The sequence below is a fragment of the Homo sapiens genome, chromosome 3, assembly GCF_000001405.40.
Source record: "Homo sapiens chromosome 3, GRCh38.p14 Primary Assembly".
Taxonomy (NCBI): domain Eukaryota; kingdom Metazoa; phylum Chordata; class Mammalia; order Primates; family Hominidae; genus Homo; species Homo sapiens.
In genome coordinates this window covers 151229187-151242940 of record NC_000003.12, presented here as the reverse complement: position 1 = coordinate 151242940, position 13754 = coordinate 151229187, and the positions used below count along the sequence as shown (strand labels likewise).

Sequence of the window (13754 nt, the reverse complement as noted above, 5' to 3'; positions counted from 1 at the left end):
TTTCAGCTCCATCAGCTCCTTTAAGCACTTCTCTGTATTGGTTATTCTAGTTATACATTCTTCTAAATTTTTTTCAAAGTTTTCAACTTCTTTGCCTTTGGTTTGAATGTCCTCCCGTAGCTCAGAGTAATTTGATCGTCTGAAGCCTTCTTCTCTCAGCTCGTCAAAGTCATTCTCCATCCAGCTTTGTTCCGCTGCTGGTGAGGAACTGCGTTCCTTTGGAGGAGGAGAGGCGCTCTCTTTTTATAGTTTCCAGTTTTTCTGTTCTGTTTTTTCCCCATCTTTGTGGTTTTATCTACTTTTGGTCTTTGATGATGGTGATGTACAGATGGGTTTTTGGTGTGGATGTGTTTTCTGTTTGTTAGTTTTCCTTGTAACAGACAGGACCCTCAGCTGCAGGTCTGTTGGAATACCCTGCTGTGTGAGGTGTCAGTGTGCCCCTGCTGGGGGGTGCCTCCCAGTTAGGCTGCTCAGGGGTCAGGGACCCACTTGAGGAGGCAGTCTGCCGGTTCTCAGATCTCCAGCTGCGTGCTGGGAGAACCACTGCTCTCTTCAAAGCTGTCAGACAGGGACATTTAAGTCTGCAGAGGTTACTGCTGTCTTTTTGTTTGTCTGTGCCCTGCCCCCAGAGGTGGAGCCTAGAGAGGCAGGCAGGCCTCCTTGAGCTGTGGTGGGCTCCGCCCAGTTTGAGCTTCCCGGCTGCTTTGTTTACCTAATCAAGCCTGGGCAATGGCGGGCGCCCCTCCCCCAGCCGTGTTGCTGCCTTGCAGTTTGATCTCAGACTGCTGTGCTAGCAATCAGCGAGACTCCATGGGCGTAGGACCCTCCGAGCCAGGTGCGGGATATAATCTCGTGGTGCCCCGTTTTTTAAGCCCGTCGGAAAAGCGCAGTATTCGGGTGGGAGTGACCCGATTTTCCAGGTGCCGTCCGTCACCCCTTTCTTTGACTCGGAAAGGGAACTCCCTGACCCCTTGTGCTTCCCAAGTGAGGCAGTGCCTCGCCCTGCTTCGGCTCGCGCACCCACTGACCTGCGCCCACTGTCTGGCACTCCCTAGTGAGATGAACCCGGTACCTCAGATGGAAATGCAGAAATCACCGTCTTCTGCGTCGCTCACGCTGGGAGCTGTAGACCGGAGCTGTTCCTATTGGGCCATCTTGGCTCCTCCCCTAATTCATTTTTATACCTCCCAACTTTCTTGCCAGTATTCCACAAAGAAAGCATTCACAAGAGAAAAATGAAAAAAAATTATGTATGTGTGTATGTGTATATATGTGTGTATATACATATATAAAATATCCTACTGTGTGTGTATATACACACACACATATATATAACCCACTGTGAAAGTGTGTGTGCATATGTATTCCAGTTAACATAATTAAAATGACTAGACTAGCATTTGCATCTCTCCACATCAGTCCATCAGTCCCATCCATTATAGGGGAAGATGCTTCACTGCCTTTAGTGTTTCTTCAACACAAAACATTTAATAAGTCGCTAGGGATCAACACATGGAATTCAAGATAGCCTGAGGAGAAAAAAATCAAGAGTAAAAGTTTGTTTTGAAAACTACAATAAAATCTAGGCTTACTTGCCTTTTGCCATACTCTTTGATATTGATACAAATACATATATTTTAACATTTGTAATTTTACTAATAACCTTTGGTATTGCCATTTTTGAAGGTAAAAAATTGTAAAATATCAACAATTTGATCACTCAACCAACTAAAGAGATATAGTCTCAAAAGGCAATCCCAGATGCCAAAGGGCAAGGAGAAAACCACTAATGATATTTTACATAATTTTTATGTGATAGTGAGATCTAAGACTTCTAACTAACACTTCCAAGTACAAGTACTAAACTCCCATGAGTATAGTCCCCCGTTTTTAAAGCCTTTACACAGATACTCTCATCTCACTGGATGTTTTTGGCAACCAGGAGACACTGGAAAAGGCCTTCTATTCTTGCCCCTGTTTCACCAATTAGCAAATAGGGTTCTAGAGAGGTTCAGTGATTCAGGCAAGATGACACAGCTAATCAAGACCAAGCATGGTACTTGAAGAATAAAGTCATCTGGCTTCAAATCCACTACCCTTTCACCTATCACTCCTTGTCTCTGACCTAAGGAAATGACCAGGTCCAATAAAAACCATGATTAATATATAAATACAAGTTAGATGCAAGAGTGCACAAAACTGGTCAGTCCCTTGACTGGATATTTACATAACAGCAGCAATAATCACACTGTATAAAATAGTCAATATTATTGGGACTCAGATTTTCATAGAAGCAATCTTGCATGGTAGATAAAGGAGATGCTTAAAGATAAACAACTAGATTTGAATCTGCCATGATCTTGAGCTACACCTTTTGTTTTGTTTTTTAGCTCTTTCACCTCTGTGACCCTCTTCTGTCCCACTTCCTATTAAATAAATTTTAAAACAGATAAAGCCAAACAGCTGCTGAGAAACTAAACAAGACATGCTAGTACCTGGCACGCAGCAGCTATTCAATTAAAATGGAGTTTCCTTCCCATCCCTGCTAATAACTTATTAGGATAAAAGTGTAAAATCCCACTGGAAACTGCTTGAGCTGTAATCTGAGAGTCAGAGGTCCAAAAAAGAAATCACAGAAATAAAGGGTAAGGAGTACCTCTCCCAATTTACCTGCCATCATTCCCACAAAAAACTGGGCGTCGTGTCAGTACACAGGTAGTGAACATCTATTGACACAGGCCCATTGACTACCTACTACCTTAAGTAATCTACACTCTAAAAAACGGGGCCACTCCTTCCTGGCCAGAACAATGGTCCTGACAGTTATGGAGCCTGGAATTACAGGTCAGGGGCTGTGAGACCCACAGGTGGTGGCCATACACACACACACAAAAAAAAAAAAGGTGGGAGAAAGACATCAGGATTACTTCCTGTTTGATTCACACATCTGGTGGGTAGATAAACAACCTTAAAAATGCTCAAGAAAACAAAGTGAAAGATATGTGTTCTGTACAAGTTACAAAAATGAACTTGGGAAGTTTCATATATTTTTAAATTTAATTACTCTTCATAAAATGTGGTGTCCTTTTTTGATATTTATAGACAGTCCAGTATAATACATATATTTAATAGCTTAAGAGCTGGAGTGCTAAAACAAGCAAACTAACAACCATAACAAAATCTCTTATCAGAAAATATAGATAAATGTATTTTAGCCAAGAATTCTCAAATTTTTGGTCTCAGGATCCCTTTTACTCTTAAAAAATTACTGAGGACCTCAAAGAGCTTTTGTGTATACCTATCCATACTTATTATTTTAGAAATTAAAATTGTGACAGTTATAAAACTTTTAAATAGCAGGTTAACACAAGTAACATTTTTATGAAAAATATTTTCAAAAAAATTTATGTCAACAAGTCATGTTATTCTACATTTTTGCAAATCTCTTTAACATCTGGCCTAGAGAAGACAGTTGGATTCTCATATCCACTTCCATGTCCAATCTCTTGCAAAATGTTTAGGTTAAAAGTATGTTGAAGAAAATCCAATCCCATACAGATAAATAATGGCCTTCTGGATTTTCTTCTTTGACAGCACAAAACTCAACAGGTGGTTTTTTAAAGCATGATTGCAATATTGGATCTAAAACCATGTCAATGAATATTTTATACTTTGTAACACTGAAATCTTTTGGTCTTGACCTTTAAGTCTATGTGTTTTACTTATGCCCAATTTTATAACATCATACATTGGTCATGTAGATAAAATACATTCATGCAGAAATTTGTAAATATAAACACTTTTCATTCTACAGTACCAAAAAATCATACTAATTAATATTGCCCCTCCTCACAGTGTCAATACCGGAAAGCTACGAAACTCACAACAGCAGACAGAAGCTTTCCAAAATTCTGCTTTCAGTTTGAAAGCTTGAATTTTATCATTGTCAAAAATTGTCTCTCAGTTCATTCAGTTTTGAGAAAATGTTTGCCAAACACCCAAGTACAATTATTAGTTTGTCATTCGATCAAGTAAAAATGGTGTTCCATGAAAAATGCATCTAATTCAGCTTATAACTCAATTATACAAGTGTTCATTCCTCTAGACAATCATAAGTAGCAAATGTACTTTATACATAATTAATATTTTGGCACACAAAATATTAAAAAGATATTTTTATGGTTGAGATTTAATAAAAACTAGTATTGCTTTATTAAGCAATTGGTAAAACTGATTTTTCTTTTCTTGTTTAAGATTGTATGTCAGTAAGGTATAAAATGCAATGAACAGTTGAGTGCACTGCCTTGATTTGTGCTAAGACACCTGAACATTTTACACATCATGGCTTTTGCACCATCAGTGCAAATTTCAGCACGATGAAAATAGCAACATCTTAGTACTCTTATAAAGATGGATTTGATTTCATAGTGTCTCTGAAAGGGTGTCAGGAACCCCTGTGGTTCTGCAGACCACATTTTAAAAACCACTGTTCCAGGCTGGGCGCGGTGGCTCACGCCTGTAATCCCAGCACTTTGGGAGGCTGAGGCGGGTGGATCACCTGAGGTCAGGAGTTCGAGACCAGCCTGACCAACAAGGTGAAACCCCGTCTCTACTAAAAATGCAAAAATTAGCCGGCCAAGGTGGCAGGTGCCTGTAGTCCCAGCTACTTGGGAGGCTGGGACAGGAGAATTGCTTGAACCTGGGAGGCGGAGGATGCAGTGAGCCAAGATAGTGCCACTGCACTCCAGCCTGGGTGACAGAGCGAGACTCCATCTCAAGAAAAAAGAAAAAGAAAAAGAAAAAAGAAAAAATGTGCACTGTTCTAAACTTTAGGACAGAAAAGTTTTAAGATACAAAAAGCACTAGTTAGAAAAGAAAAAAACGATAATTTGATCCTTAAAATTGGTAAATTTTGCTTCTTGAAATATAACTTTAAAAGTGAAAACAGTAAGTCACAATCTAGAAAGCCTATTTATAGTAGAGACACCAAACAAAATATCAACAATATTCAAAGAAGTCTACAAATCAGTAACAGCATAAACAACCCAACAGAAAAATAAGCAAAAAATGTGACTAGACATTTCATAGAAATACCAGTGATCATATGAAGAGATGCCCATATCATTTGAGATCACTGTACAAATGAAGACTACAATATAATAACATTTCATAAGAAAAAAATTTTTAATCTGAAAAGATAAAACGTCAGAGAGGACTGATATCCACAGGATCACTACACATCATTGGTAGGAATATAAACTAGTGTAACTTCTTTGGAAAACAGTTTGGCGGCTGGGCGCAGTGGCTCACACCTGTAATCCCAGCACTTTGGGAGGCCGAGGCGGGCAGATCACCTGAGGTCAGGAGTTCGAGACCAGCCTGGCCAACATGGTGAAACCCCATCTCCACTAAAAATACAAAAAATTAGCCAGGCATGGTGGCGGGCACCTGTAGTCCCAGCTACTTGGGAGGCGGAGGCAGGAGAATCGCTTGAACCCAGGAGGTGGAGGTTGCAGTGAGCCAAGATCGTGCCACCACACTCCAGCTTGGGCGACAAGAGTAAGACTCTGTCTCAAAAAAAAAAAAAAAAGAAAAAAAAAAAAAGCCAGGCGTGGTGGCTCACGCCTGTAATCCCAGCACTTTGGGAGGCTGAGGCAGGTGGATCACAAGGTCAGGTGTTCAAGACCAGCCTGGCCAACACAGTGAAACCCCGTCTCTACTAAAAATACAAAAAATTAGCTGGGCGTGGTGGCATGCACCTGTAGTCCCAGCTACTATGGAGGCTGAGGCAGAATCGCTTGAACCTGGGAAACGGAGGTTGCAGTTAGCCGAGACTGGTACTCCAGCCTGGGCAACAGAGCGAGATTCCGTCTCAAAAAAAAAAAAAAAAAAAAAGTTTGGCATCACTTCCTGAAGTTTAACATTCATGCTGTCCTTGACTCAGCAATTTAACTCCTAGGTTTATATCCACGAGAAATTTTCAAATGTCCATCAATAGGCAACAAAGATATGCATCTCGGCATGACTCACAATGGCAAAAACCTGGAAATACCCCAAATACAAGAAACTGAATTAACTATGATATGGTCACACAGCAGAATGCTATACAGTAACCAAAACAAAATTAATTATAGCAATACTTAATAACATGGATGTGTACGATATATATGAAATCAAATTTTATATATTTATGTCAGTAAAATATATAGAAAAATCATGAAGAGATTACATACAGTTTTAAAATCATAACTTCATTCACACACACTTTTAGGAATACATATAGATGTTACAAAAATTTGTAAAACAGGAAAAGTGAAAGATTGAAGAACACATGACTCAGGTAATGTGGAATAAAAGTATCCAGAGAGATGGCATGGGGGTGGGAGGATGGACCATTTAGACAAGAGCAGCTGCTTACTGTCAAGGTCTTGGCTTTCGTTTTGGTTACTGAGTCTGAAGGAGATTATTAACATCGTTAAGAATAACAAAATAAATCTGTAAAAAGTCATCCTTGCTTGAATGCTGCATAACAAGAATGCTTCCTGAATCAAGAATTATGATTATTCTAATTCTGTGATCCAGAGATTTAAAAGGATATCTATATATGTTAATCTACTATGCACATTGAAGTGGCAATTCAAAATATAAAAGTACATTTTAAAACTCTAGAAGTGCTGAACAAACTCATCATTTGACAGTTAAGGAAATCCTTAATTTGACCAAAGTTGTATAAGTAAGTTCATTCTGAAATTCCATAAATATTCATTGAGCTTCTAACTGTAGAGCAAGCTCTATTCTGGGACCTCCTAATTTTGCCGTTAACAAGAGAAATAAATTCTGGTCTGGCAAAGCTTACCTTTAAGAAGGGCTGTATGTAAGAATAGGGGGAGAGGAGAATAAGTTAAAAAATATTAGATTGGTGCAAAAGTAATTGCAGTTTTTGCCATTGAAAGTCATCACAAAAACCACAATTACTTTTGCACCAACCTAATATTTTAAACAACAAAGGGAGACAAGAGAAAACAAACGTGGTAAGAGGCTAGAGAATGCGACATAGGGGGAATGGCTATGTTAGATGCCATGAACAGGAAAGGCCTTGCTGAGAAGGTGACATTTTAACAGAGACCAGCATGTGGCAGCCACACAAAGGTACCAGAGACTGACAATCACAGGCAGAAGCCAGCTCCAAGGACCTCTGCCCAAGTGAGTTGCTTTTACTTATTTATTTATTTATTTATTTATTTATTTGAGATGGAGTCTAGCTCTGTTACCAGGCTGGAGTGCAGTGGCGCGACCTCAGCTCACTGCGACCTCTGCCTCCCAGGTTCAAGGAATTCTCCTGCCTCAGCCTCCCGCGTAACTGGGATTACAGGCACGCCCAGCTAATTTTTGTATTTTTAGTAGAGATGGGGTTTCACCATGTTAGCCATGATGGTCTCGATCTCCTGACCTCATGATCTGCCCACCTCAGCCTCCCAAAGTGTTGAGATTACAAGCATGAGCCACCATGCCAGGCCATGAGTTGCTTTTAGATCTTTTCAGAATCAAACTTCAACCCCACTATAGGGAATATTCACATTCACCTGAACATTCCTGCTACTCTTATGCAGAGCTTGACAAAACTCAGCTGGTCATGCTTGCAGGGCCCTGCCCCCATCAGTTTACAAAGGTCCAGAAATCTTTCACAATTTAATGAGACTGAGGAAAACATGCACCTGCTCAGAGTTCTGCCAGGCATTAGATGACCAAAAAGCTCAAGTGGGTAGGTTAAGCTTTTACTTTTTATTTTGAATTTTTGTTCCACTGGACCAAAATACCTAAGTAGCTTAATAATCTACATCTACAAGGAATATTGGTTTGCCTGCCAAAGGCACTAAGTGTCTGCTACCCTGCTTTCTTCACAACCTCCACCGCATACAAAAAAACACGCCTGAGCTTTTTCTACAAGTTAACCACGTCCATGACGTGGTTAGAAATAGAAGAGATAGAAGAAAGTTCGCTGGAACGTTTGCTGCTTCAGGCTGGACAGATTCTTATTATAGGTAAAAGAGTCACACAGCTGAGGATAGGCTTCTGCTACCCACCAGGAGAGTGATGGTGACCCCTGACTAAGGAACTTGACAGCAGGGTTAATGATAGTCCACATTATATGGGCATCACTTATGCCAGGCTTCTCCCAGCCATTTACTAGAAGAGAGGCATGCAACCAAGTTAAGAACATACAGGTTGGATATTACAGTAACTGAGGCTTCGAATGGTTGGGTCCTAGTTGTAGGGGCTCTGATTACCATATCTGGGAACTTACTCAACCCATTAAGCTCCCTTCATCTTTCTTCCTGTGTAAAATAAGGATATTTTTGGTCATTCATCAGAAAGTTTATACAGCACCTACTATGAACCATTTGCTGGGTTAACTGAAAATACAAAGCTCTCTCCCAACACAGTAAAACAGACAAGCTAGTAAAAACAAATACTTTCAGTAGGATGCAATATTTTCCATTGATTAAGGCTGTAAACTGGCAATGACCTCGATTCAAATCTCAGCTCTACAACGTAACTATTTGCAATACCTAGACAGACAATTTATTCAAGCTCTCTAGGCTTTGTTATCCTCCAGTATAAAACAGGATTACTCCTATCTTGTCAGGACCACTTGAAGCTTTGAAAGTTACTAACTGTAGTTAATTCAGTCTCACTGCTGCATAAAATTTCACTAGGCAAATAATGGGTTTTTTACCCATTCTCCTGTCAATAATCATCTGGGTTATTTCCATATTTTTGCTATTACAAACAGTGCTTCTATGAGTGTTCTTGGACATGCTTCCTGGCATGCATCTGCAGGAGTTTTCTAGGGCATACACCTAAAAGTTAAAATGCTCAGCTACAGAGTGAGTGAATGTTCATCTTCACCAAGTATTTCCAATTCCCTTTCCAAAGTGATAGACTTTTTAAATTTCTCTACTCAGCATTATGTTTTAAAGTCCTAAAAGATTACATATAGCATGAACAATTTTTACAAAGGAATGTATGTACACATGGACTAAAATCATTAGTTTTAAAAGGGAGGAAATAAAAAACACACAATTCAGGACAGAGTTACCACAAGGCGGAGAAAGGCGGATGGCAGAGGAGGAACAGGAACGATCCAAGAATGCCTGTGGGACTCTCGCTCTCAAGTCGGTGCTGTGTTTTTGTTTTTGTTTTTTTGAGACGGAGTTTCACTCTTGTTGCCCAGGTTGGAGTGCAATGGCACGATCTCGGCTCACCACAACCTCCGCCTCCCGGGTTCAAGTGATTCTCCTGCCTCAGCCTCCCGAGTAGCTGGGATTACAGACACCTGCCACCACGCCCAGCTAATTTTGTATTTTTAGTAGAGACAGGGTTTCTCCATGTTGGTCAGGCTGGTCTCAAACTCCCCACCTCAGGTGACCCGCCAGCCTCGGCCTCCCAAAGTGTTGGGATTACAGGCGGGAGCCATCACGCCCGGCCCAGTGCTATGTTCTTTTTGTTGTGCTTTAACTTATACTACATGTAGTCTTTTCAAAGTATCAAACATTCCATTGAAAAGAAAGACTATATTTAAAAGCAATTAACACTGTCTGTGTTTGGTAAAACACAAAACTCAAAATGAATGGTAGCTATTGCTACAGAATGTGATGAGAATAAGAGATGACAAGACAGCGTAGCTCAAGGTGAGGCATGACTAAACTCAGAGGGCACGAGAGTGCTACCCTGTGGAGGTGAGGCAGCCGGGCTCGTCAACATCCAGAGCTGCAAATGACCCAGATCTGCAGAAACTAGAGATGTTCAGGGGAGGAGGGGAAAGAAATGGGGCTGCTCAGATGCCAGAACAGCAGGCTCTGAGCTCCAAGAGGGCAGGGACAATGTTGGTGTTTTTTTATTGCTTTATCACCAATAGCACATACACTGTCTGGTAATAGCTGTTAGAAGAATATTTGAAAGGTGAAAAGAAAATTTTGTTTTACAGATGATGGTTTTAAACAATATTAAAAAAAATTTAGTTTCAAGGGTACATCTGAAGGTTATATAGGTAAACTCATGCCACAGGGATTTGTTGCAGATTTTTTTGTCAGGTACTAAGTCTAGTACCCAATAGTTATCTTTCTGCTCCTCTCCCTCCTCCCACCCTCCATCCTCAAGTAAGCCTCAGTGTCTACTGTTCCCTTTGTGTCCATGAGTTCTCATGATTTAGCTCCCACTTATAAGTGAGAACATGTGGTATTTGGTTTTCTGTTCCTTTGTTAGTTTACTAAGGATAATGGTTTCCAGCTCCATCCATATTCCCACAAGACATGATCTCATTCTTTTTTTATGGCTGCATAGTATTCCATGGCATATATGTGCCACATTTTCTTTATCCAATCTGTCACTGATGGACATTTAAGTTGATTCCATGTCTTTGCTATTATGAAATAGTGCTGAAATGAACATTCATGTGCATGTGTCTTAATGGTAGGATGATTTCTATTCCTCTGGGTTTATACCCAGTAATGGGATGGCTGGGTCAAATGGTAGTTCTGTTTTCACACCAATCAGAATGGCTATCGTTAAAAAGTCAAAAAATAACAGATGCTGGCAAGGTTGCAGAGAAAAGAGAACACTTCCACACATTGGTGGGAGGGTAAATGAGTTCAACCATTGTGGAAAGCAACACTGTGATTGCTCAAAGAGCTACAAACAATGTTTTAAGTAAAGACTACTTTGGCATAGAGGAGTATATAGAAAGAGAAAAGAAAATGGCCAAGAATAGAACAAGAAACATCAATTTTAAGGATGGGCAGAGGAGACCCCACAGGAAAGTAAGAAGGAAAGGTAAGAAAAATAGCAGAGACACCCAGGAGACTGTTATTAGGCATTCGTTACCTGTCAGGCACGGAGCACAGGACCCTTCCCTCAAAACCAACACACACACGTGTGTGTATACATGTATATGTGCATATAGGCATGCATATATCAGCAAAAAAAGCCCATGAATACACAAGTTTATACAAACATACAAACATAACACTTTGTTTTCTTGTACTGAAGTACTTTCAAAATAAGTTGCAGGTAATCATGACCCTTCCCTTCTAAATACTTCAATAAGCATCTCTAAATACTCTCTCGCTTAACCACACCATCAATATTTCTGGGAAGATTATTACTCAGTAATATTACCTAATCTAGAATCTGTATTCAGAGTTATACAACTGTCTCAAAACAATTTGTATGGCTATTCCCTCCAGCCAACAATCACCACTCATTAACGGTGTTATTTCTCTTTGGCCTGTTTTAATCTACGACTGTCCCCTTCCAGCCCATCATGTTTGTTTCTCGTGGCATTGATTTTTTTAAAGAGTCCAAGGCTGGTTGCTTTATCAAATGTTTCATATTCTAAATTTGTCTGATTGCTCATTGAAGATTTTTGATACAGTTTATTACAAAAGTATGTTGTGTACATCTAACTAAATCATATCAGGAGGCATACGATGCCAGATTATCTCACTTTTGGTAAGTTGGATCATTCAGTGACCACCAGATCTCTCTGCTTCAGAGGTATACTTTTTATTACTCTAAATGATGGGGGAGTATGTTTTCAGACTGAAAGATACTATTCTCCCACACCCATTCACCCAGTGGCTTTTGGCCACAATTGAAGCTTATTGCCTGAATCAGTTATCACACTGAGGTTGCAAAATGGTGATGTCCTAAATTCTACCCTTCTTCTACCTTTACTAGCCAGCATTCTCCTGTAAACAAGAGCTTTCTCATTTGCATCCTACCTTTTTGTAATCTGTACTTTTAATATCACCATAAACTCCTGAATTTGTTTTGGTTTTCAATGTATTTTCACCTGTTGCTATCATTCTCATTAATGCCCAAACTGTCCCAGATCTAGGAGTGCCCTCAAGTCGGCTTCTGTGTCCTTTTTTAGCATTTCCTAATCGGTCTGAGCACTTCCTTGCTTTCTGATCAAAAGATGTCACAACTCAACTTATACTTTTCCTGTACCTGATCGGAAATCAGTAATTTCTCTTAAGGAGCCCTGTTTCCTTTCAGTGGCTAGTGAGAGTTCCAAACAAGATGAGCTCACTGACAGTGGGAAGTCACTACTTCTGCATTGGCAGGGGGGTTTCACTTTTGTTATTTAAAAATGGCTTGAGCAAGTTTACAGCTATTGGGGTGTCATGACTTACAGACATACAGATTTTATTACTTTTTTTTATTAAGGACTTTGAGCAGGTTTAAAGTTTGAAGGGAAGTAGCCCTTAGAAAGAGACGTTGAAAATAGAAAAGAGAAAAGCAATAACACATAGAGTTCAAAGAAACATTAGAAGGAAGTGGAAGTGCATTCAAAAAAAAAAAAAAAGCGTGGAGTAAAACAAAACTAGTCCTGGCACGTTTCACAGTCCAAGGATGTCAATGAGCATCAAAGTGTAGTGTATAGTATAACGAGAAAGGAGTGTTTATCAGAATTTTTTTACATACAGGTATTATACCTGAGGCAATAATGAAATGGCATCTAACAGCTCCCCTGGGGCAGGGCAAGACATAAGACTATTTTCTTACACTGTACTTGACTGACTTCTATTGAAATTCATGGGAAAGGTGAAATATCACAAGTGGAATGTTCTAAAACAGACACGCATATTCAAGAACAGATCCCGGCCGGGTGCGGTGGCTCACGCCTGTAATCCCAGCACTTTAGGAGGCCGAGACTTGCGGATCACAAGGTCAGGAGATCAAGACAATCCTGGCTAACACGGTGAAATCCCGTCTCTACTAAAAATGCAAAAACAAAAATTAGCCAGGCGTGGTGGCGGGCACCTGTAGTCCCAGCTACTTGGGAGGCAGAGGCGGGAGAATGGCGTGAACCCAGCAGGCGAAGCTTGCAGTGAGCTGAGATCGCACCACTGCACTCCAGCCTGGGCAACAGAGCGAGACTCCATATCCAAAACAAAAACAAAAAACAAAAAAACAGATCCCAACATGTGAGCCTAGGACTCATAAAAAGTAAAGGTCTTTGATTTCAAATACAACTTGAACAACATCTTCAAGCTGCATAAAAGTGCATCTTTCACCCTTAAGTCCTACTAAGTTTGCAACTAATACAGTTGCTCCATTGTTGCATGCTCTAGTTAATAAAACACAAATTCGTTTAAGAATTGCTCAGTTCGCCTGGCGCAGTGGCTCATGCCTGTAATCCCAGCACTTTGGGAGGCCGAGGCAGGCGGATCACGAGGTCAGGAGATTGAGACCACGATGAAACCCCATCTCTACTAAAAATACAAAAATAAGCCAGGCATGGTGGTGGGCGCCTGTAGTCCCAGCTACTAGGGAGGCTGAGGCAGGAAAATGGCATGAACCCGGGAGGCGGATCTTGCAGTGAGCCAAGATCGTGCCACTGCACTCCAGCCTGGGCGACAAAGTGAGACTCCGTCTCAAAAAAAAAAAAAAAAAAAAAAATTAGCCGGGCATGGTGGCACGAGCCTGTAGTCCCAGCTACTCGGGAGGCTGACGCAGGAGAATCGCTTGAACCCGGGAGGCGAGGTTGCAGTGAGCGGAGATCACGAAACTGCCCTCCAGCCTGAGCAACAGAGCAAGACTCCATCTCAAAAAAAAAAAAAAAAAAAAGAATTGCTGAATTTATAAGTTATTACCACAGTATGTTTTATTAAAATCAAAGAACCCTCTAACAGGGATTAATACACAAAACAGGGAGGAAACATACAACACTTTGGGTTAGAGAGTAT

The 13754-nt window shown here is 40.5% G+C and overlaps 2 protein-coding genes across 30 annotated transcripts in view, besides 2 other annotated features; one reads left to right on the top strand and one right to left on the bottom strand.

Annotated features, from left to right (window-relative positions):
- Positions 1-13754, bottom strand: part of MED12L (mediator complex subunit 12L) — a 350990-nt gene that overhangs the window by 193713 nt on the left and 143523 nt on the right. The window lies entirely within an intron of this gene.
- The window catches only part of P2RY14 (purinergic receptor P2Y14), a 66426-nt gene that overhangs the window by 35602 nt on the left and 17070 nt on the right, over positions 1-13754 (top strand). The gene's annotated exons all lie outside the window — the stretch shown is intronic.
- Positions 273-870: an enhancer, noted in NCBI's record as "NANOG-H3K27ac-H3K4me1 hESC enhancer chr3:150959859-150960456 (GRCh37/hg19 assembly coordinates)". NCBI's record gives its function as "activates a minimal SCP1, AML or CMV promoter by ChIP-STARR-seq in naive and primed H9 embryonic stem cells {active_cell/tissue: H9 hESC(naive and primed)}" and the evidence as "EXISTENCE:reporter gene assay evidence [ECO:0000049][PMID:30033119]".
- Positions 871-1470: an enhancer, noted in NCBI's record as "NANOG-H3K27ac-H3K4me1 hESC enhancer chr3:150959259-150959858 (GRCh37/hg19 assembly coordinates)". NCBI's record gives its function as "activates a minimal SCP1, AML or CMV promoter by ChIP-STARR-seq in naive and primed H9 embryonic stem cells {active_cell/tissue: H9 hESC(naive and primed)}" and the evidence as "EXISTENCE:reporter gene assay evidence [ECO:0000049][PMID:30033119]".